Source organism: Homo sapiens, chromosome 8, assembly GCF_000001405.40.
Source record: "Homo sapiens chromosome 8, GRCh38.p14 Primary Assembly".
NCBI lineage: Eukaryota > Metazoa > Chordata > Mammalia > Primates > Hominidae > Homo > Homo sapiens.
The window spans coordinates 30,590,425-30,615,549 of record NC_000008.11 but is presented as its reverse complement, the minus strand read 5'-3'; the positions used below and the strand labels follow the sequence as shown (position 1 = coordinate 30,615,549).

Below are 25,125 nucleotides of genomic sequence, written 5' to 3'. Positions count from 1 at the left end.
GTGAACATCTGTGTAGTGGAATGGATGTGCTGTAGTTAATCTGTCTTCTAATATGGACGCTTGGGTTATTTCTAATATTTTCCTTTTATGAACAATGCTACAGTGACCATAAGTCACTTTTCTGTGTGGTACTGGTATTTCTGTAGGATAAGTTTCTAGAAATAGGATTGTTTGGTGAAAGTTGAGTGTCTTTTCCTATGTTTAAGGTCATTTTTTGCAATCTGCGCGTTTCTGTCTTTGGGTCATTTTCTGTTAGTTTTGTGTTTTTTCAAGACAGAGTCTTGCTCTTGCCTCCCAGGCTGGAGTGCAGTGGCATGATCTCAGCTCACTGCAGCCTCCTCTTCCCAGGTTCAAGCGATTCTCCTGCCTCAGCCTCCCAAGTAGCTGGGATTACAAGCATGCACCACCATGCACGGCTGATTTTTATATTTTTAGTAGACATGGGGTTTCACCATGTTGGCCAGGCTGGTCTCGAACACCTGACCTGAAGTGATCCCACCTGCCTTAGTCCCCCAGAGTGCTGGGATTACAGCCATGAGCCACTGTGCCTGGTCTATTTTGTTAGTTTTTTGAAGCTCTTGAAATGTTAGGAAGAATATAGCTCTTGGTGATACGAGTTGCATATATTTTTTTGTCAGTTTGTCTTTTGATTTTATAGAGCAATGAGTTTCAACCCCATTCTGATTTCATGGTCTATGGCTCTTCGTCACTATAATTATGCTACCTGGAATAATACATGTTTTTCATTCCTGAAGGTTTGTTTACATGTAACTATGATTTAATGCATCTAGCATTTTGAAACTGTCTTCTAATAACAATTTCTTCACTTGATAGACACGGCATCAGCGAGGAGATACGCATCCTCTAACCTTAGATGAAATTTTGGATGAAACACAACATTTAGATATTGGACTCAAGCAGAAACAATGGCTAATGACTGAGGTAAGAATTTAGTTGATTATCAAGAGAGATTTCCTGTAACTAGAATTTTCTTTTTTTTTTAAGACAGAGTCTTGCTCTGTTGCACAGGCTAGAGTGCAGTGGCATGATCTCAGCCCACTGCTGACTCAGCCTCCCGAGTAGTTGGGACTACAGGCATGTGCCACGATACCAGGCTAATTTTTGTGTTTTTAGTAGAGACGGGGTTTCACCATGTTGGCCAGGCTGGTGTTGAACTCCTGACCTCAAGTGATCCGCCCACCTCGGCCTCCCAGAGTGCTGGGGTTATAGGCATGAGCCACTGCGCCTTGCCTAGAATGTTTTAATATGGTGAAATCTGATAATGCTTTTTACTTTTTCTTAAAAGAAATGGTGTAGGGTCTTTGTTTTTTGAATGTACACATTTATAAGATTGATTTGTTGGTTTTCATATAATTTTATGTTATCTGTTTCAAAATGTTAAAGGTAAGACTTTGTGTAATAGTTGTAAAGAAGTCATTGTACCAATTCGACTTAATGTTTTTACAGATTAATGCTTATTTTGTATTGCCAGATTTATAGTTTGTGTGCTTGTAAATTGAATTGTTTTTGTTTTAGGAAATTTAAAGCATAAGGTACTGCAGGGATAGGAAGATATTTTGTTGCACAATTACTGCTATTATGGCTTGATGTGGAAAAAAAGTCGCGAATGCTGTGTATGAACACACATCATTTGAAGAAACCCCAACGCAGTCAGTGACCATGCTAATTTGGAAATGAATAGCATTTAAAAATTCAAATGTTTACCGCTTTAAAATATGAAGTGAAAACTAAGAAGACTACTTTCTAGGACCAGAGATAGATTCTAGAAACCAAATGTAAAATTCCTAACATACAATTCATTTATTTTTTTACCAAGCAAAATACAGGTCTTGACTTTTATAATGTAACATGACCATTAATCAGTATAATTGTAGTTCATTGTATTAGTGATACACAAACAATGGTAATCCACATTTAAATTTGCTGGTTTAGCTAACCTTGAGAATTCATAGACTACCAACATTTAGTTAACAATGACTTTGATCATTTTACTATTCTATTCTCCCTTTTTTCTTCTTTCTGTGTTTCTTCTCTTTCTCCTTTCAGGGTCAGGCTGGCAGCTGCAGAAGAAAATATATAGGGTTGCTCTTTTTGAAGAGCTTTCCTTCTGATACTAACTGTACAACAGAACTGACTAGAAACATAATTATATTCAGTAATTCCTGCATTCCTACTCAGTTTCATTCTCAAGCTGACATTATAGGTAAAGTTCTTGTATGCACTAGTCTGGTCCTTTTCAGTTCCTTCCACAGCTGCCATTGCCAGTTGATAGCAGATGGGGAAGACCATTGACTAGTAAGGGTTATGTTCCTTACTTTATAATGCCAGTATGTGATAAGCTGTACTTTGCAGATGGAGTGGGCACTACTCAGTTCACTTTGTCTATTAATATTTGTAGGTGTTTTATTGATTCCTACACATTTTGACTACTAGAAGAATATGGGTTCAGCTTTTTTCAAAGTAGTTGTGATAAAATGGTTTATTTCTCTTCAAAGAATTTATGTAAATAAAACACAGTTTCTTTTATAAAAAGTGAGCACCGTGCTGATCTACTGTTCTGGAATTCTGGATGTCCAGGATTTTAGGCCTGCCAGTTTGTATTCATAAGGTACTTTTAATTTGCCACTGTATTGGCTAGTGTTGTATTTTAAAATAATTAGTAGAATTAAGAATGTGTATATGGGCTGGGCACAGTGGCTCACGCCTATAATCCCAGTACTTTGGGAGGCTGAGGTGGGTGGATCACCTGAGGTCAGAAGTTCAAGACCAGCCTGGCCAATGTGGTGAAACCCCGTCTCTACTAAAAATACAAAAATTCGCTGGGTGTGGTGGTGCGCACCTGCAGTCCCAGGTGCTGAGAGGGAGGGAGGCAGGAGAGGGAGGCTGAGGCAGGAGAATCGCTTGAACCCAGGAGGCGGAGGTTGCAGTGAGCTGAGATCACGCCACTGCACTCCAGCCTGGGCGACAGAGCAAGATTACGTTTCAAAAATATATATATATATTTATGTTCCATTTGTTAATATATTCCAATTGTATCACTGTTACAGGCTTTAGTCAACAATCCCAAAATTGAAGTAATAGATGGGAAGTATGCTTTCAAGCCCAAGTACAACGTGAGAGATAAGAAGGCCCTACTTAGGCTCTTAGATCAGCATGACCAGCGAGGATTAGGAGGAATTCTTTTAGAAGACATAGAAGAAGCACTGCCCAATTCCCAGAAAGCTGTCAAGGTAATCTCTCTTTTCTTTCTATGTCTTAATATAATTTGAATGAATAATGACTTCTTGGTTTTAAAAATATCAAACATTTTACAATTGTTTTTAAAGCTTCTATTATATACACATGGGTTACAGTGAGCCACTTGAAGGTTTGAAATTTGTCTTGTGCCACCTAGCAGGAAAGGGAGCAGCCATCTCTGTGTAACTTTGACGGGTTCTTGTTGCTGTTACTATATGATTGTTTGATTGTTCAGGCTATTTCTGGAAAATTTTCCTCAAAGGCAATAGAGTTTCTCTTGTAAGCTCTGTTTGTAAATAAGAGTGTCTTCTATAATACTAGTAGATGTTCCTTACCTGAGGAACTAGAGGCATTAAAACATGAAAGCATTGGTTAATAACCTGGCTGTTTTGAAGTCCTAAAGGGGCTATCTATGAAAGTCCTACTGATACAGATGACATTTCCAGTTTAAATTTGAAACTCACTGGGGAAAGCTGCTTGTTTCCATTTGTCACAGTTGCTCATTATTAATGTTAACTTGTTAAGCAGGTTCATTCATTTTGCTGCCTGTAGAAGAAAACTTGCCCCTTTGTCTCTTCTTCTTGGTAATGGAATTATACATGTCAGATCTTCTGGTATTGTACTACAAGTCCCTGAGGCTCTGTTTATTTATTTCAATTTTTTTTCTGTTCTATTAATCCATTGTCAAGTTCACTCACTTTTCTTCTTCACTTCCAACTTGTTAAGCCCAGTTGGTGAATTTTTTAATTGTATTTTTCAGTTCTAGTCTTTCTTTGTAAATTTTTCTTCTGGTTTCTGTTTCTTTGCTGAATTTTGTTTTCTTTTTTTTCCATTCGTGACAAGTATCTTTTGTTACACCCTTAAGTATGATTTCTTATAGCTGCTTTAAAATTCTTCTTATTCTAACAGCCGAGTCATCTCAGAGCTGGTCTGCATTGACTGTCTCTTTTATGGGTCATATTTTCCTGTTTCTTCATATATCTAATACATTTCTGTTGGGTCTTAGACCTTGTGGATTATATTAATATGTGTAAAGACTCAGGATTCTGTTACATTCCTCCCAAGAGTGTTTCTATTTGTTTTGTTTTGTGGTTAAGTGGGCAGTTACTCCAAACCTTGTCTGCCCTACAGCAGGTAGCATATGATATGTCTCTTCTGTTCTTCTAGCCTTAGCCCGTTTGCTTGGAATCTTGGAATCTTTTTCCAAGACTGGCTTATTTCACTTAGCATAATATTCTCAAGGTTCATCCATGTTGTACTTGCAACAGGATTTTCTTCCTTTTTAAAGCTGAATAATATTCCATTGTGTTTTTGTTGTTGAATTGTGGGAGTTTTAAAAAATATATTCTGGATATTAATTCCTTAACAGATACATGATTTGCAAATATTTTCTCCCATTCTGTAGGTTGCCATTTTACTCTGTTGATTGTGCTCTTTAATTTGCCAGTTTCTGAGTTTGCTGCACTCTTGTCTATTTTTGATTTTGTTGCCTGTGCCTTTAGTATCATGTTTAAATCACTGCCAAATCTAATGTCATGAAGCTTTTGTCCTATGTTTTCTTCTAGGAGTTTTATAGTTTTGGGTCTTAGGTATTTAGAGTTAATTTTTGTATATGGTGTAAGAGTCCAACTTTATTCCTTTTCATGTGGATATCCAGTTTTCTCAGTGTCTTGATGAAGAGACCGTCCTTTGCCCATTGAATAGTCTTAGTCTTGGTACTCATGTGGAAGATCATTTGACCATATATGTGAAGGTTTATTTCTGGGCCCTCTATTCTGCCTGTATGTCTTTCTTCATGCCAGCACTACAATGTTTTGATTAATGTAGCCTTTTTTTTTTTTTTTTTTTGAGACAGAGTCACACTGTCACCCATGCTGGAGTGCAGTGATGCAATCTTGGGTCACTGCAACCTCTGCCTCCCAGGTTCAAGCAGTAGTCCTGCCTCAGCCTCCTGATTAGCTGGGATTATAGGCACACACCACCACACCCAACTAATTTTTTTATTTTTGGTAGAGATGTGGTTTTACCATGTTGGCCAGTCTGGTCTCGAACTCCTGACCTCAAGTGATCTGCCCACCCTCGGCTTCCCAAAGTGGTGGCATTCCAGGTGTGAGCCACTGCACCTGGCCTGATTAATGTAGCTCTGTAATATATTTTGAAATCAGTAAGAGTGAGATCACCAATTTTGTTCTTTTTCAAGATTGTTTTGGCTATGTATTAGTCTATTCTTGCAATGCTATAAAGGAATGCTTGAGACTGGATAATTTATAAAGAAAAGAGATTGATTTGGCTCACAGTTCTGCAGGCTCTCCAGGAAGCATGATGCTGGTGTCTACTCAGCTTATGGGGAGGTCTCAGGAAACTTATAATCATGGCAGAAGGTGAAGGGGAAACAGGCTCATCTTACATGGCCGGAGCAGGAGCAAGAGAGAGTGGGGAAGGTGCCACACACTTTTAAATGACCAGATCTCATGAGAACTCATTATCAGGAGAACAGCACCAAGAGGGAAATCCACCTTCATACCAGTCACCGCCCACCAGGCCCCACCTCCAACATTGGGGATTACAGTTTGACATGAGATTTGATGGGGACACAGATCTAAACCATTTCAGGCTTTTTGAGGTCCCTTGAGATTTGATATAAATTTTTGGATGGATTTTTCCATTTCTGCAAAAAATGCCATTGGGATTTTGATAGGGATTACCTTGAATAGGTAACTTTGGGTAGTATTGCCATCGTAACTGTATTAAGTTTTTTAATACATGAGCACAGAATTCATTTATTCATGTCTTTAATTTTTTTTAGCAATGCCTTCAGGTTCTTTCATTTATTTTATGTATGTACAATTTGACTGTCCCTTATCTGTAATGCTTGGGACCAGAACTGTTTCAGATTTTGGGATTTTTTTCAAATTTTGGGATATTTTCATTATACCAGTTTAAACATTCCAGAGTTGAAAATCTGAAATCCAAAATGCTCCAGTGAGTATTTCTTTCTTTCTTTCTTTCTCTTTTTTTTTTTTTTTGAGGCGGAGTCTCTTTCTGTTGCCCTGGCTGGTGTGCAGTGGGGTGATCTCAGCTCACTGCAACCTCTGTCTCCTTGGTTTAAGAGATTCTCCTGTCTCAGCCTCCCAAGTAGCTGGGATTACAGACACCTGCCACCGTGTTCAGCTAATTTTTCTATTTTTAGTAGAGATGGGGTTTCACCATGTTGACCAGGCTGGTCTCAAAACTCCTGACCTCGGCCGAGTGCAGTGGCTCACGCCTGTAATCCCAGCACTTTGGGAGGCCGAGGCGGGTGGATCACGAGGTCAGGAGATTGAGACCGTCCTGGCTAACATGGTGAAACGCTGTCTCTACTAAAAAGTACAAAAAATTAGCCGGGCGTGGTGGCGGGCACCTGTAGTCCCAGCTACTCGGGAGGCTGAGGCAGGAGAATGGCGTGAGCCACCGTGCGGAGCTTGCAGTGAGCCAAGATCGCGTCACTGCACTCCAGCCTGGTTGACAGAGTGAGACTCCGTCTCAAAACAAACAAACTCCTGACCCCAAATGATCCTCCTGCCTCCCAAAGTGCTGGGATTATAGGTGTGAGCCATCACACCTGGCCCCCAGTAAGTATTTCTTTGGCATGTCATGTCAGCACTTAAAAAGTTTTGGATTTTGGATTCGAGATTTTGGGATTTGGGTTGCTCATCCTGTAGTTATCACCTTTTACCACCTTGATCTAGTGGACTATTATTTTTAAGCTACTTTAAGTCATTTTATGAATAATTTACATAAGTAAGAATAATGGGATGATGAAAACAGCTTTATTAGAGATTTTAGTAAGAATTTAACACAGCAAACTTCTGTATCAAGTAATTTTTGGAAAACACATCAAAAAGAAGAATACTGTCATATATCCTTTTAGCAAAGTGAGATGATAAAGATTCTTTTCACAAAATACTGTGTGATAATCTTCTGGTGAATAACGGGATGAGAATATTGTTTCCATTTTGTATTGAGAAGCATTTTGTTCGCTTGTTGATTCTTAAGCTTGAGAATCTTCACTTGAGTTATTGTCATCTAAAGACTCCATAGCTTGAGACTTTATTCCTATGATGAATTTTTGCCAGATAGTCTAGAGTGCTGCTATTTGGCTTTTTGCATTCATATTTTGATTCATCTAATAATTGTGAAATGTCTTTGGTCAGTTTTCTTGTCTTTGCTCTCAAGGGTAGAAAATACAAAATTTTTTTTGTCAGGTGTACTCAATGAAAGTTAAAAGACAACAAGAAGACTCTTCCAATCTTTTATATCTCTTGAAAAGGAGTAATGTAATCCTTTGGGCAATGCAGTAAGAAAACTGAAGGATGCCCATGTATTTCACTATTGCATCACATTTCTAGGTGATTTAATCATTCTTCTATTTTCTTATTATTTTAGCGTTTTAAAAGCACAATTGGAAATAATTGATGGGTAATGATGAGTAAGGAGCGAAATATCTCAAGGTAGAGGAAAAGTAAGAACACCAAGATTCTATTATGTGTCTTAGATTAGTGAAAGAGCCCCATGGACCCAAATAGTAATTGCAGCAAAGATTGAATTTTCCGTTTTAAGTGAAACACGTTTTATTTTTGTTCTTTGGAAGACCTCTAAGAATACAAGTCTGGAAATATCAATTTTTAAAAAATTGAACTACTCAAGAAAGAAACTCAAAAACTAAAATTGGGGCTGAGTGCAGTGGCTCACACCTATAGTCCCTGTACTTTCTGATGCTGAGGTGGGAAGATCGCTTGAGCCCAGGAGTTCAAGACCAGCCCTGGCAACATAGTGAGACCCTTTGTCTACAAAAAATTGAAAACATTAGCTAGACGTGGTGGCAATGCACCAGTGGTCCCAGTTACTCCAGAGGCTGAGGTGGGAGGATTGCTTGAGCCTGGGAGGTTGAGGCTGCAGTGAGCTGCACTCCAGTCTGGGTGGAGTCTCTTAAAAACAAAACTAAAACTAAAATTGGGTCCAGTGGACCTATGGTGGAGGACCCTATGGTGGTATACTGAGTGTGTTAAGGAAATGAAACTCCTTTATTGTTTAAATTTTTTTTTTTTTTGGTGAGGTAATTTGGAGTTAACTGAAAAATCTTTATTTTATCTATCTTTAAGGCTTTGGGGGACCAGATACTATTTGTAAATCGTCCCGATAAGAAGAAAATACTTTTCTTCAATGATAAGAGCTGTCAGTTTTCTGTGGATGAAGGTGAGCTTTTCTGTATTATACTTTAGTTTGCAAGTATATTACAATTTTAGGGTGGTAAAATTAATATTTATAATACAATTATAATTTAAATCTTATATTGCTTTTTTAGCATTATCATTTCTTAGAACACAGCCAGTGGCCCCTGTGTCTAACATATTGTTGCTTAGAATGCAATTTGAAATATGTGATTTGAAAGATTTTAGGTTAATTATACTTACAATCGCAGTTCAGGATTTCTTAATGTTTATAGCTCAACTGAACCAAACGGGTTTATTTCTTTATCTTTAGACTTTTACAAATGTAAGTTCATATCCTGATACAAAAGCTTGATACAGGATGGGAAAAAGAATAAACTTTTATTGGTGAATAGTGTTCTCTTATCTTATGAATCTTTCAGTTATCAAATTGAATAAGGAAGGAGATGATGTTTTTCTTTCTGGAAATTGTGGAGTTGGATGCTAAGCTGTATATTGAATCTCTTACTAAGTATATGATACGTATGTTTGGACTTTAGTTTTAAATTTTTGTCAATAATTTGTCATTAAACAAGGGTTTAGTGATGAAAAATGTATTATTCAAGTTTACCAATTGCCATTTTAGCAAGTGTTGGTGGTATTTTACTGTAAATTTGTATTACTTTTGAAGTTTTATAAAATGGCAGGAAAATAATTGGACATCAATTTAATTGATTTTGTGATTTGTGCAGTAACCTTAAGTTTTCCTTTTGTTATCTGTCTATAGATATCCAGGCTTGTGGTTCTGGTAGATAGGGCTTTAGTTTCCCTGAACTTGTTTTAGGAAATTGTATTTTTGTGAAAATCCCAATTGAGTATCTTACATGTAATTGGTTCACAATAAATGTTAATTAAATAAAAATGTGCAGAATATTCCAGTTCTTTGATGTTGTTGTTTCTAATAAGCTTTTATATAACAAAGCAAGTATGTAGTGAACTTATGCTATCCATTGTAGTGATAGGTGCCTGTTGAACAAAGACTTCAGTACTGCCTGGCGATTTTTATATTGCTTTCAGTCTTCGTTACTTGCAATGTTGCCTTTATGCTAATTTTTATATTTCTTGCTTTTGAAAACATTTAAGGCTGGGCATGGTGGCTCATGCCTCTAATCCTAGCACTTTCAGAGGCCAAGGTGGGAGGATCGCTTCAGGCTAGGAGTTCAAGACCAGCCTGGGCAAAAAAGTGAGACCCTATCTCTATTAAAAACTGAAAAATTAGCCAGGCTTGGTGGCGCATGCCTGTGGTCTCAGCTACTCACAAGGCTGAGACAAGAGTATAGCTTGAACTCAGGAGTTAGAGGTTACGGTGAGCTGATTGTGCCACCGCACTCCAGCCTGGGTGACAGAGTGAGACTCTGCCTTTAAAAAAGAAAGTTAAAAACCATTTAAGATATTTCTGAGCTCAAAAAAAAAAAAATCTAAGAAATAACCGATTCCTTTATTCTTAGGTATAATAACAATCATTTTGAAAAATATTTGCAGTACTTAAAAAAACCTATCACAAGTATTACAAGTTCAGATAGAGAGTAAGAGCCTATACTAAAAGGCAGATGTGCCTTTCCCTTCTCTAGCTGCAGTCCCTTTCTTTTGTGGCAGCTGCTTAACTAGTTTTATTTTGGATTCTTCAGTTTTTTCCCAATTGCTAATAATATGCTTATGCTATTGTTTCTTGATTTTTTTTCAACTTTAAACATTGTGTGACTTACTGTCATTTCTCTTTCCTATACCTATCTCTCTCCTCCCAATATAGTTGTATCTCTAGTTAAGTTTTAGTTTCTCCGTCATTTACTTTGATGCCTTCAACAAACATATTTAAATGTTCTCAGTGGGAATTTTAGTGTTAAGTCTGCTCTGCAGATGGCAGCATAGTGTAGCATGTCTGTTGTGTAAGCAGATGTTTAACTTGAGGCGGGTGGTTGATAGGAAAGAGATTGCAGTAGCTCTGTAAGAGTGTACATGAAGCTCTAGAATTTCTTAATAGCATTTCTTTGGGGTTATTTTAGGAGTACACTGTGTGTTTAGCAGTGGGAAGCCCAGATGTTCTTGTAATCTGCACGCTAAGCTGTCACTTTCTGGCCCTTGTGTGCTCTTTCTGTGGATACTATTGTTTTAACTTTGCTTTTTCCTGTTTGTGTATCTTTTATCTATACTTCCTTAATATTACCCGTTTTCATTTGTCATTTTATATGGCCTTTGTTGGCCTAAACTCTTTTCTATTTCCTTATTGCATAGCTTATAGGGGTAAAATGAGAATTTTCACTTTCCCCCCTAGAAAACATTAACAATCTAGAAATACATAGAGTAAAATAGTAATATTAAACTCTAGCATATGTGATGCAGAAATTAAACATGCATCATGGATATGTGTTCCGTGTCTTGTGATAACATATGCTTGGTAGTTAAATCTTACATAATCAGGAACAAGTTCTGTAAATAATTTGATGTTTATTCTTTTAGTTTGCTTTCTCAGCATTACAAATATTCCATAACGATGTATGGCTGGTTAGTATTCCACTGTGTGTACCTGATTAATGAGTTTTAAAATAGTTAACAATGCTGAAGCAAATGTCTTTACATATCTTACACATTGGCTATGTATTTTTTATTTTAATGAAGTAGTCATAGAAATCAGGAAGATAATGCAGAAGTAAATTGAGAAAATATTTTTGCATCTTTTCAGATCTTTGTTGTTGCTAACTTATTTAATATATGGTGAAATGTACTGCTAGGTTTCTTAATATTTAACCACCCTTACACTCCTAGATAACCTTTCTTTGGCTTCATGTATTTCTAAATTTTTAATATTAATGTATTTAGGACAATTGTTTCAGTATGGTCACTTTTCTTTTTTGTGTGCTTTGTCAGATTTTGGTTATGGTTATTATGCTGGGTTCATAAAAAGAAAAGTAGTTTTTCTTCCTCTCCCCCCCTCATTCCTTATGAGAATAGTAGATTCTTTAAAAATGTGAAGGCATATACCCATGAATGTATCTGGCTAATTGCTTTCTTGGCAACATTCTTAATGTTTTATTTGCTTATGTCCTTAAGTTTTCTATCTTGCAAGTCAATTTTGATAATTCTGTGTTTTTCTACAAAACCATTCTTTTTAAAATTTCAAATTTAATAGTGTGCGGTTTTTCAGAGCGTGGCCCTCGGACTTAATTTTCTCACTGTTATTTTCTCTATGGTGCACTTTTGTATTTGTTCTTTCCTTATTTCTTTGTGAACTACTTATTTTATCTCTGTTGTTTGTTGTGTTTTCATTTTAACAGAAAATATTCTTATCAGATCATCATCTACATACATATTTATTTTTTGACTACTTGATCTAAGCAGTGACTGAGCAAACATCAGAATCTCTCACAACTTTTATGTTTTTGTTTATTTTTCCTGTAGTTACTGCTTTTTATATTTTCATGCAGAGTTTTTAGTTTATAAACGTTCTTGGCAGTCGTAGTTTATTTTAAGAATTGTGTTCAAAATCATTATAATGTGTCCCCCTTTGTTGTATTTAATGTTCTTTTCCTTGATGTCTGGCTTTATTCCCATCTGACTGTCATAACCTCTGGCTTTTTAAAAATTTTATATATTTTTTCCCATCTTTTACTTTCTGTCTGTATTTTTTTGTTGTTGTTTTAAGTATTTCCTTTCTAGATGGCATATGGCTGGCTTTAACTTTTGAATCAGTTCTGACTGTCATTTTACATTTACCGTCTTTATTATATGTTGTAATCTCCCCATCATTTACTTGGAAATGGTATAATTTATTTTCATTCTCTTATCCTCTGTTGTCTTTTTATTCCCTTGTTGACAATTTCTGGGATTTTTGTTACAGTTTATTAATGTTTATTCGTAAGCCTGTTTATTCAAGAAATATTTAATGGTCTCCTCCTAAGTGCCCTAGTCATTTTGCTAAATATAGAGGTAAGATAGACCAGTCCCTGTCTTTATGGAGCTTCCATTCTGAAGTGGAGGACAATATACAAAATTTGAAAATACTGCGGATTGTATGAAATGCTAGGAAGAAAATAAATGAGCTCTATGGTAAGGTGTGGGTGGTGAAGTTCAGATACAACCTTTGAAAAAAGGTGAAATAAGCCAAAACAGGAAAAATGGGGTGGAGCTAGCCTTGCCAAGGGTCAGAATAGTGTCCACGTGTGGGACTGTAAGGCGAGTATCCAGGCAGAGGGAATAGCAAAGACAAAGATTGTGGGAAGGACTTTAGTTTTTTTCCTAGAGTGGCTTTTGTTTCACCAGATTCAGTGAACACCTTTTTTTTTTTTTTTTTGAGACGGAGTTTCGCTCTTGTTGCCCAGGCTGGAGTGCAATGGTGCAGTCTTGGCTCACAACAACCTCTGCCTCCCGGGTTCAAGCAATTCTCCTGCCTCAGCCTCCCGAGTAGCTGGGATTATAGGCATGCCACCACGCCTGGCTAATTTTGTATTTTTAGTAGAGACCAGGTTTCTCCATGTTGGTCAGTCTGGTCTCAGACTCCCGACCTCAGGTGATCTGTTTGCCTTGGCCTCCCAAAGTCAGTGAACACTCTTATAACAAATGATTTGTAACGTCATCTTTGCTTTTGTGAAATTAAGTTCATAGATAATATAACCTACTGATACACATACTTTCTTAAAAAGTCAGTGTAATACCCTAAGTGTAATGTAAAGAATGAAAATATATTTTTATTCTTTAAAATATATTTTTTATGGTTTAAAAATTTACTTCAGCCAGGTGCTGTGACCCATGACTGTAATCCCAGCACTTTGGGAGGCCTGCCTTAGGCGATCACTTGAGGTCAGGATTTCAAGACCAGCCTGGTCAACATGGTGAAATCCCATTTCTCCTAAAAGTACAAAAATTAGCCGGACATGCTGGTGCGTGTCTGTAATCCCAGCTACCTGGGAGGCTGAAACACAAGAATCGCATGAACCTGGGAGGTGGAGGTTGTAGTGAGCCTAGATTGTGCCACTGCACTCCAACCTGGACAACAGAGCAAGGCTCTGTCTCAAAAAAAAAAAAAAAGATTAAAAAATGTATAAGTGCTCAGGCAGTTACCCTAGAATGTAAATGGAATGGAATTGAAACAGTTGTATATCTTTCTATTGTAGAGTCACCATGAAGATGATAGCCACCAATGGGCCAATATAGTTACGATGTATTGGCAACTTAGATGTCATAACTGGTCTCTTCCTTAAGTGGTAAAGGATTCTTGGTAAAGTTCTGAAAATACAAAGTACATTTCTTCTGTGATTTATCAAGGTTAATAATGCTATATTCTGTGTACAGTATACATTGTATATTCCTAGAAAAGTTTATTAAAAGTGCCAAAAATACTTTGTTTATATATGTTAAATAGAATTGGGTTTGTAGGCTCAGCTTATTGTTATAAACTGGTATTTTTCACTGATCTGTGTCCCTCTTAAGAAGGATGGTGGGGGTTAAGCAGGGCTTTCGACCTTGGCAGTGTTAACATTTGGGGTTGGTTGAGTAGTTTTTTTTTGGTGTGGGGAGTGTCCTGAGCCTTGTAGGGCATTGATCAGCATCCTTGGCTTGTTTAGATACCAGTAGCTTAGCTTCCCTGCAGTGTGACAACCAAAACTTTCTTTAGACATTATCAAATGTCACCTGGAGAACAAATTCCCCTTGTTGGGAACTTGGTTAAAGGTCCAGTTTATGTTGATAGAATAGAGGAAGATTGAGACCCACTGTTTTCAGATTCCTTTTCCTGGCTCCTGTCATTCCGCACACTTGGTGGTGGAAGAAGATCACAGTGAATGAGGTTGCTGTCCTTGACCTTCCAGGCTGAGCGGGTAGAATGGCATAGGAAGCATAGTTCAGCTGTTTGCATTTTGTCATTTTGGTGTTCACACGGTGCTGTAGAGACACCAGAGGGAACAGCCATTTACAGGAACCTTGGGTAAGGTACCACCAGTCTTTTAGTTGAAAGTGCCAGTATTACGTAAATCAGTAACAAAAACAAAACAAAACAAGTTTTTGTTAATGATATAAGGAATGTGTGTTTCCAGGGAAGACCCATTGAAAACGGACACGTTTTAACATTCATCTCTAGCCTCAGAATGCTTTATGCTTTGTGTGAAGATTTTCGTTTCGTTCCACTAGGTGGCAACCTTAGCCATAGAGAGGAACTCTGAGTGCGCACACTTCAGGCACACAGAGGGTTCTGTCTGTAATAGAAGCACTTGTCCTAAAATGAGAATTAGCTCAAGGAGAGAGTTGATGGTGTAGTAATTTTTTAATCCAGTGTAGAAGTGAACACAGAGTAGTTGGACCTAGGCAGGCAACTTATTTTTCAAAGGCATTTCTTTCCTTAAGTCAGAAGCTTATTCATTTAAAGGTAGTATAAATGTGATGGGGAAGAGGCTGGTGCTGAGGAGTTAGATTGTAGGTTTTATCTTTTTTTAATTTATTTTTTATTATTATTTTTTACTCTAAAAAAAGATTTATTCATTCCATGTAGGTTTTATCTTAGCTCAGTCCCTTACTAGCCTAGGCAAGACACTTAACCTCTCTCTGAGATTCCTCATCTGTAAAATAGAAATAATAGTATTGTTACCTCATTGTCTTTGAGGATTAAATGAGTGAATATAAATAAAAGTGCTTGGAACTTGGAACAGAATCTGGTGGAAAGTAAGAACATGGTAATGTTAACTATTATTAGTATCGGAAAAATAAAATAGTACCCATGGTGCTAGTCATTTTAATCCTACTTAACCTGGTTATTTATTTATCCATCTGTCACTGACTCACTGGTTTTATAGTTTTGTGTTTGGTTAAACAGATAGCAAAGAAAGCCAATTTAGCAGTCTCAGGCCACATTTGTGCTGATTTTTTGCAGTTACGTTATGGTTTTTGGTGTTTCTGATGAGAATTCTAATGGACAATCTTTTTCCTCATTGCTGGCAACTTTTTTACTTACTGGAAGCTTAAACAGTTTCACCTTTATCTTAAGAATTCAGGATTCTTATAGTAGCTACCACTTTTGAGTCTGTGCTCTGGGGCTCTCATACTGTTTTAGATCATTATTTATTTATTTATTTTTTGAGACAGAGTCTCGCTTTGTCACCAGGCTGGGGTGCAGTGGCGTGATCTCCGCTCACTGCAACCTCTGCCCCCTGGGTTCAAGCGATTCTTCTGCCTCAGCCTCCCTAGTAGCTGGGACTGCAGGTGGGTGCCACCACGCCCAGCTAATTTTTGTATTTTTAGTAGAGATGGGGTTTCACAGTGTTGGCCAGGATGGTCTCGATCTCTTGACCTAGTGATCTGCCCACCTTGGCCTCCCAAAGTACTGGGATTACAGGTGTGAGCCACCGTGCCCTGCCTGATCGTTATTTTTTAAATGGCTACATGGTATTCTATTTTGTTGATATACTCTAAAACAATTTTTTCTGGCCCATTTCCAGGTATACAAACTCCACAGATGGGAAGTTTTTTTTTTTTTTTTGTGAGACAAACTCTCGCTCTGTTGCCCAGGCTGGAGTGCAATGGCACAGTCTCGGCTTACTGCAACCTCTGCCTCCCAGGTTGAAGCGATTCTCCTGTCTCAGACTCCCGAGTAGCTGGGATTAGAAGTACGTACCACCATGCCTGGCTAATTTTTTGTGTTTTTAGTAGAGACAGGGTTTCACCATGTTGGCCAGGCTAGTTCTTGAACTCCTGACCTCAAGTGATTTGCCTGCCTCAGCCGCCCAAAGTGCTGGGATAACAGGCGTGAGCCACTGTGCCCAGCCAGTTATTTATTTATTTTTTTGGTTTTATTTTTTTGCTCTATGCTGTTACAGATAGTGCTGTGTGTACATTTTCTTGAGGTTGAATTGCTGGATCAAAAGATAGACATATTTTTGAAAATACTAATGCCTTACCAAATGTCTGTTGTAAAATTGGGCCAATTTATACCTCCACAGTAATAAATGAGAAGGAATCTTATTTCTTCATGTCCTCATAAATACTGATTGGGTGTTTTTAGTTGACTTTGCCAACCTCATAGAACATAAAGAGTATCTTGTTTTTTATTTTATTAATTTTTATAAATAGAGACAGGGTCTCGCTTTGTTGCCCAGACTGGTCTTGAACTCCTGGGCCAAACGATCCTCCTGCCTTGGCTTCCCAAAGTGCAGGGATTACTGGTGTGAGCCACCATGCCCAGCCAAAGATTGTCTTGTTTTAAAAATTCATTTTCTTTCACGCATTTTATAAAATTAAAGAAAACCAGGTTATTTCTCTTTGTCAACTGAACATTTTGTCCCCACATGTTTTAAAAAGTAATTAAATTTGAGATTCTGTGAGATTGTACCTCTAAAATACCCGTGTTCCAGTATTCATCTTAAGTATTTATGCAGCTGTAATACATTTACGTAGATGTCATATTTAAATGATTTACATAGTAGATGTCATATATTTACATTTACATAGTAGATGTCATGTTTAAATATTGCAACAGCATTGAGCTAAGGAAAGGCAGGGATTAAGTATAAATGTTTTATTGAAAAAAATTGAAGAGTTTTTATTCAGGGTTTTTCTCTGAAAATAGCTCAAGTGACTTTAAACAAAAGGAACTAGTTAAATTAAAAATTTTAAAGTGTACTTTCAGTTCTATTGTGCCATGAAAATTTATAGTGTTGTGTGTTCTTTCTATACAGTAATATACAGATCAGCTTTCCAGACCATTGCTGCCACTATTTAAGTAGGTAATATTACCTCTGCGATTGTGTCATAAGAGGTCCGCAGTATGTAAGCTTCTTTGCATATCAGGTAGAAAGGCAAAGAAATTTCTGTTTTCAAGGAACTGAAATTTTGCAGTGGTAGAAAGTGTATTGAATGAAATTAACCAGTGAGTAAAAGGTATGTTTTTCCTATGTACTTCTTTCCCATTTTGCCTTTATTGTTATACAAAGAGAAGTACACAGTTGACTTGTTGGACAGATATGTAATACATATTCTAAAGAAATGGATACAGTTTTCACATGTTGATAAATTAGAACTTAACAAATTGATGATCAAAATACCAGAACTATTCTTTGGTAGGATATAGTTTCTTTAACAGCTATAATAATAAGTTTGACATGTAAAATTCTGGCTATTGCCTACATTTTAAAACAGTAATTTTGCATGCTTTATTGGGATTACAGAGATATTTTTGTTGCTGAGTTGGAAGTTTGACCTGAAATTATTTTCTTTCATATATGCCTATAGTGAGCAAAGCTAGCCACATTCATTAAACAGCCTTTAAAGTTTGGCTGAAAAGCAGATAGTTGGGGACTTTTAGCTTCTACTTAGAATGGAGAAAGCTAGAGAGAGCATCGTTCCTACCTTGACAGCAACAACAAACCCCAGAAGTCTGCATGCTGATATCTTCTTGAATTCATCAGTGAGCTGAGGTTGCAGGACAACCTCCCAACCCAAACTGTAAGGAGAGACAGGCACCCCCTTGGAAAGGTAAGACCTGAGCACTTGTTTACCTGAGACAGACAAAGTGAACATCCCGCAGGAGAATTCAGTTAAAATTTAATGAACTTAGTGTGGACCAGCAAGAAAACAGAGATCGCCTGGGGGGCTGCAGACACAGGGGGAGTTTGTATCCACTCACAGGCTCTTCTCCACAGATTTCATTGGATGCTTACAAAAAAGATTGAGGCAAGGGTGTGGGTACTGAGAAAGTGTCCCTTACTGTTCCCCCTGGAGGAGAGGGACAGTAGATCCTTTTGGAAAGACACGAAGCCCTGTCTGAGTCCTTCTTCCCTTCTTTGCTCCTATGAGATAAGAGCCTTAAACCACTGTGGAAAGAGAACAGAAAAAAAGTCTTTCGTCCTTGGCGAGGGACAGGAATATGTGCTAGGCCCAGAACTTTAGTGGAGGAGAAAGGGCAGGAGCACTGAGAAGGCCACACCCCAGTCACCAAGGAAGACAGTGTTTGCCCAAGACCAAGGCTTAATCCTAATGTCAGAGAATCTTCCCACCCATACGAGGCTAACAGCTGTGGACTGACAGGTGACACTGGAGATCGGTGTAAGGCGCAAGAACGTGGAGGCAGACCAGCTCAGATGCAGCGTAAAAGGAAGACCAAAAAAGCTGAAGGTCGAACAGACACTGAGGAAAACATCCTCTGGCAAACCAGCCACTACCCTAACACAGTTCGAAGCTGGTGGTACATTGTGGGTAACCATGGCAGCAACAAATTCCAAACCACGCTTCTGTTCTGACAATAGATTGACTCAACCTCCACACACTAAAGATCTGGCAGAAGGAAAGGCGGGCCCATTTCCCAGGCATAAAAACTATTTACCTCAGTCTTAGCTGTCTTACAAAGGATATCCTGCTTTCAAAAAAGTTTTTGAGGCATAAAAAGAAGGAAGGAAGAACAACACACTATTGAGACAGGACACTTTTAAGACCAAATTCTTTGGAACTACGAGACATGGAATTGAGACAGGACATTTTTAAGACCAAATTCTTTGGAACTACCAGACATGGAATCTAAAATAACTGTTCAGTATGTTAAAATCTCTAGTAGAAAAGGCAGGCAACTTGTATGGTCAGGTAGGATATTTCAGCAGAGAGATAGACACTGTAAGAAAATAAAATAAATGCTAAAAATGAAAATGACAGTAACATAGGTGAAAAATGTCTTCAACAAGCTCATTATTAAACTTGGTGTAGCCAAAGAAGGAGTCTGTGAACTTGAATACAGCTGAAGTGTGAAAAAAATAGGGCAGAGAACCCATAAGCTGTGAGACAATATCAAGTGGTCTGAATTTGTAAAGTCTGAGAAGGAAAAGAAAGAAAACGGGGCAGAAGAAATACTTGAAGATGTAATGACCAAGAATTTTCTAAAATTAATGATGGACACCAAAGATCTGTGAAGCTCAGAGAACACCAATAGATCATCCCCCAAACCAGGCAAATGACAGAAAAACACCGAGGCATATCATATTCAAATTGCAGAATATGAAAGATGGAAAATATTGAAGGCAGTCAGAGGAAAGAGACTAATTCCAGAGGAAAAAAAGAATGCAGAGTTCTTATTAGAACCCATGCAGACCGAAAGATAATGCAGCACATCTTTAAATGGCCAAAAGGGAGAAAATCCTTTCAACCCAGAATTCCGTACACAGCAAAAATAATCTTTTCTTTTCTTTTCTCTTCTTTTCTTTTTTCTTTTCCTTCCCCTTCCCCTTTTCCTTTCCTTTCTTTTCTTTTTTCTTGTCTGACTCTGTGGCCCAGGCGAGAGTGCAGTGGTGCAATCTTGGCTCACTACAACCTCTGCCTCCAGGGCTCAATTCATCCTCCCATCTCAGCCTCCTGAGTAGCTAGGACTGCAGGTACATGCCACTACATCTAGCTAATTTTTTTGTATTTCTAGTAGAGATGGGGTTTCACCATGTTGCCAAGGCTGGTTTTGAACTCTTGGGCTCAAGCAGTCTGCCCTTCTCAGCCTCCCAAAGTGTTAGGATTACGGGTGTGAGCAACTGCATCCGGCAAAAATAATCTTTCAGAAATGAAGGACAAATGCTCTCTCAGAGAAACAGAAATGGAGAGAATTCATTGCCATCAGACCTGCACTACTGGAAATATTAAAGGAAGTTGTTCAGGAAGAAGAGGTATGACATTAGACATTTGGATCTATACAAATACGTTTCTAGGAGATAGAGTTTTTATTATTTAAAAATATTTTTCTAATTTCTCTGAAAGATGACCATAAATCAAAAATATTAACAATATATTTTGTGTTTAGGGCGTGTTATGGGAAATAAAATTTATGACAAATTAGCTTAAAGGTCAGAAGGGATCAATAATTGGTCTAGTATACTGTTCTAATGTCTTTACATGACATATGAAATGCTATGACTTACTCTAAGCTAGGCTCTGATTAATTAAATATGTATGTTGTAAACCTAGGTCAACCACTAAAAACATTTTTTGAAAAAAATGTAATAAGCCAATAGTGGAGATAAAATGGAATCATACAAATGTATCCAGCTAATCTAAATGAACACGGAGACAGAAGGAAAACACAAGGAGCAGATGGAACAGATAGAAACAGTGGTGAAGATTATAGCCTTTATTCCAACTACATTAATCATTGTGTTAAATGTAAATGGTCTAAACACACTATTTTTCAGCTTGGGTGCAAAAGCAAGACTCTAGTATATACTTTTTTTTTTTTTTTTGAGATGAAGTTTTGCTCTTGTTGCCCAGGCTGGAGTGCAGTGGTGTGATCTCGGCTCACCGCAACCTCCACCTACTGGGTTCAAGTGATTCTCCTGCCTCACCTCCCCAGTAGCTGGGATTACAGGCATACACCACCACGCCCGTCTAATTTAGTATTTTTTAGTAGAGACAGGATTTCTTCATGTTGGTTGGGCTGGTCTCGAACTTCTGACCTCAGGCGATCTTCCCACCTCGGCCTCCCAAAGTGCTGGGATTATAGGCATGAGCCACCGTGCCTGGCCACTTTTTTTTTTTTTTTTTTTAAAGATCCATTCCTGCAGCTGTCTAGTATATACTGTCTATAAGAAACCCACTGTAGGCCACTTTAGGTCAGAAGTTCAAGACCAGCCTGACCAACATGGTGAAACCCTATCTCTACTAAAAATACCAAAATTAGCCAGGCGTGGTGGTGCGTGCCAGTAAGCCCAGCTACTCAGGAGGCTGAGGCAGTAGAATTGCTTCAGCTGGGGAGGTGGAGGTTGCAGTGAGCTGAGATCGCGCCATTGCATTCCAGCCTGGGTGACAGAGGGAGACTCTGTCTAAAAAAAGAAAAAAAAAGAAACTCACTTTAAATATAGATGGGTTAGGCCAGGTGTGGTGGCTCATAGCTGTAATCCCAGCATTTTGGGAGGCCGAGGTGGGCAGATCACCTGAGGTCAGGAATTCAAGACCAGCCTAGCCAACATGGTGAAACCCTCATCTCTACTAAAAATACAAAAGTTAGCTGAGTGTGGTGGCATGCGCCTGTAATCCCAGCTACTTGGGGGGCTGAGGCAGGAGAATGTCTTGATCCCAAGAGGCGGAGGCTGCAGTGAGCCAAGATTGCTCCACTGCACTCCAGCCTGGGTGACAGAGCAAGACTCCATCTCGAAAGAAAGATAAAAAAATAAAAAATAAATATAGACAGGTTAAAAGTAAAAGCATGTAAAATGATATACTGTGCAAACACTATCAGGAAAGCTAGGGTGGCTATATTAATATCAGACAGAGTAGATTTCAGAGCCAGGAAAATTACCAAGGATTAAAGAAGGACATGGGCCGGGCATGGTGGCTAACACCTGTGATCCCAGCACTTTGGGAAGCTGAGGCAGGAGGATCGCTTGAGGCCAGCCTGGGCAACGTGGCGAAACCTCGTCTCTACAAAAAATAAAAACTCAGCCTGGTGTGGTGGTGTGCACCTGTAGTCTCGTAGTGCTACTCAGGAAGCTGAGGTGGGAGGATCACCTGAACCCAGGAGTTGGAGGTTGCAATAAGCCATGACTGTGCCACTGCACTCCAGTTTGGGTGACGGAGCCACAGCCTGTCTCAAAAAGAAAAAGGACGTTACATAATGGTAAAAGTATCAATTCTCCAAGAGTACATAATAGTCCTAAATACCTATATATCTAACAACAGGCCTTCCAAATACATGAATTAAAAATGGATGAAACTAAAAGGAGAAATACATACATCCACAGTTAGACTACAGCATTCCTCTTTCAGTAGTTGATTGAACAGATAGATGGAAAATTATGATATAGAAGTCCGGAAGAGCACCATCAACTAATTTGACCTAATTGGGATTTATAGAACAGACTGTCCTGCAGCAGCAGAATACTGTGCATGTATTTTCCTTTTTTTCTCTTTTGAGACAGGTTTCACTCTTGTTGCCCTGGTTGGAGTGCAATGGTGTGATCTCAGCTCACTGCAACCTCCTCCCGGGTTCAAGTGATTCTCCTGCCTCAGCCTCCTGAGTAGCTGGGACTACAGGCACGTGCCACCACACCTGGCTAATTTTTGTATTTTTAGTAGAGACGGGGTTTCAGGTCAGGCTGGTCTCAAACTCCTGGCTTCAAGTGACCCGCCTGCCTCAGCCTCCCAAAGTGCTGGGATTACATGCGTGAGCCACTGTGCCTGGCCCTGTGTGTATGTTTTCAAGTTCATCTGGAATATTCACCAAGATGGATGGTATTCTGGCCCACAAAACAAGCTTTAATTGTATTTGAAAGAATTGAAAGTATCATTGGCCCTCCATGTCTTTTGGTTCTGCATCTGTGGATTCAACCAACTATAGACTGAAAATATTTGGAAAAAAATTTTGTCTTTATTAAACACATACAGACGTTTTCCTTGTCATTATTCCCTAAACAATACAGTATAACTATTTACATGGTGTTTAAATTGTACCAGGCATTGTAAGTAATCCAGAGATTATTTAAAGTGCATGGGAGGATAGGCATAGGTTATATGTAGATACTATACCATTTGATATCAGAGACTTGAGCATCTGTAGATTTTGGTATCTGTATGAGTCCTGGAACCAATCCCCCATGGATACCAAAGGCTGACTATACGTGAACGATGTGTGTGAGCCGTAATGGAATTAGGCTAGAAATCAATAACAGAGCTAGTAGCTATATTTGGAGACTGTCCATTTGGAAATTATTTTATTTATGTATTTTTTGAGACAGAGTCTCACTGTATAGGCTGGAGTGCAGTGGCATGATCACAGCTCACTGCAGCCTTGACCTCCCTGGGCACAGGCGATCCTCCTATCTCAGCCTCCCCAGTAGCTAGGACTACAGGTGTGTGTCACCATGCCTGGCTAATGTTTGTATTTTTTTGTAGAGATGGGATTTTGCAGTGTTGCCCAGTCTGGTCTTGAACCCCTAGGCTCAAGTGATCTGCCTACCTCAGCTTCCCAGAGTGCTAGGATTACAGATGTGAGCCACCACACCCAGCCTGAAATTAAATACCTTTAAGTAACCTATGGTTCAAGGAGGAAATCACAGGGAGGTAAAAACATTGTTGCATTAAATGAAAGTGAAAGCACAGTGTATCAAAATTCATGGGATGCAGCTATAGCAGTGCTTATAGGGAAATAAAGAGCATTAAGTGCTTATAGTAAAAAAAAAAATTCTATTGTATGGCCATACACTTTTCATGTATCAGTTGATGGATATTTGGGTTTTTCCACTTTTTGGCTGTTGTGAATAATACTGCTATTAACATACCTATACAAGTTTTTGTGTGGACATGTGTTTTCATTTCTCTTAGGTATATACCTAGGAGTAGAATTGCTACATCATATGGTAGTTCTGTGGTTAACTTTTTGAGGAATTGTCATACTATTTTGCAAAGCAGCTACATTAATTTACATTCTCACCAGCAACTTAGGAAGGTTCTGCTTTCCCCACACCCTTGCCAACACTGATTTTAGCCATTCTGGTGGATGTGAAGTGTTACTGTGATTTTGATTTGCATTTCCCTAATGACTAATGATGTTGAACATCTTTTTATGTGCTGATTGGCCATTTTATATTTTATTTTATTTTTATTTTATTTTTTTACTGTAGAAACAGGGTCTCACTCTGTTTCCTGGGCTTGAGTGCAGTGATGCTATCATAACTCATTGCAGCCTCAAGCTCTTAGGGTCATGCAATCCTCCCTTCTCAGCCTCCTGAGTAGCTAGGGCAACAGGTGTGCCACGGTACCTGGGTAATATTTTAATTTTTTATAGAGGCAGGGTCTTACTCTGTTGCCCAGGCTGACCTTGAACTCCTGGCCTCAAGTAATCCTCCTGCCGTGGCCTTTCAAAGTGCTGGAATTATAGGTGTGAACCACCACATCCGGTCCATCTGTATATTTCATTTGGCAAAATGTGTATTGAAATCCTTTGTCCATTTAAAAAATTGTTTTGTGCTTTTATTACAGAGCTGTAAGAATTCTTTATTCTGGATACAAGGCCATTGTGAGATACATGCTTTACAGATATTTTTTTCCATTCTGTGGGTTGTCTTTTCACTTTCTTGATGGTGTCTTATGAGGTATAAAAGTTTTTAATTTTGGGCCAGGCGCAGTGGCTCACACCTGTAATCCCAGCACTTTGAGAGGCCGAGGCAGGTGGATCATCCGAGGTTAGGAGTTCGAGACCAGCTTGGCCAACATGGCAAAACCCTGTCTCTACTAAAAATACAAAAATCAGCTGGGCATGGTGGTCCCCATCTGTAATCCCAGCTACTCGGGAGGCTGAGGCAGGAGGATCACTTGAACCTGGGAGGGTGAGGTTGTAGTGAGCTGAGATTGCGCCACTGCACTCCAGCCTGGGTGACAGAGTGCAACTCTGTCTCAAAAAAAAAAAAAAGTTTTTGATTTCAATCAAGTCCTTTATCTTTATTTCTTTTGCTGCTTGTGCTTTTGGTGTCATGTCTAAACCATTGCCTAATCCAAGGTCATGAAGATTTACCTCTGTTTTTTCCTCTAGGAGTTAGGGGTTTTTCCTCTAGGAGTTAGAGTTTTTGTTTATGGTGTGAGACGTGGGTCCAGTGTCCTTTAGAAAGCTAAATAGTAGGTATAGATCTCTACATTGTAATATATACTACTGTATAACCCAGCCATCCCACTCTTGGGTGTT

At 38.6% G+C, this 25,125-nt stretch overlaps 1 protein-coding gene across 7 annotated transcripts in view, besides 1 other annotated feature; it reads left to right on the top strand.

The window, feature by feature from the left end:
- The window catches only part of GTF2E2 (general transcription factor IIE subunit 2), a 79,919-nt gene that overhangs the window by 42,687 nt on the left and 12,107 nt on the right, over positions 1-25,125 (top strand). For 6 of the 7 annotated variants that reach the window (NM_002095.6, XM_017013364.2, XM_017013363.2 and 3 more), the window contains exons 4-6: positions 835-942; positions 3,069-3,251; positions 8,400-8,493. In NM_002095.6, the coding sequence (NP_002086.1) occupies positions 835-942; positions 3,069-3,251; positions 8,400-8,493 (385 nt within the window). Of the gene's footprint in view, positions 1-834; positions 943-3,068; positions 3,252-8,399; positions 8,494-13,615; positions 13,841-25,125 lie in introns of those variants that run through there. The other variant, XM_011544510.2, reaches the window with a different exon arrangement.
- Positions 14,595-14,644: a silencer, noted in NCBI's record as "silent region_19079". NCBI's record gives its function as "represses an Ori minimal core promoter by ATAC-STARR-seq in GM12878 lymphoblastoid cells {active_cell/tissue: GM12878}" and the evidence as "EXISTENCE:reporter gene assay evidence [ECO:0000049][PMID:35858748]".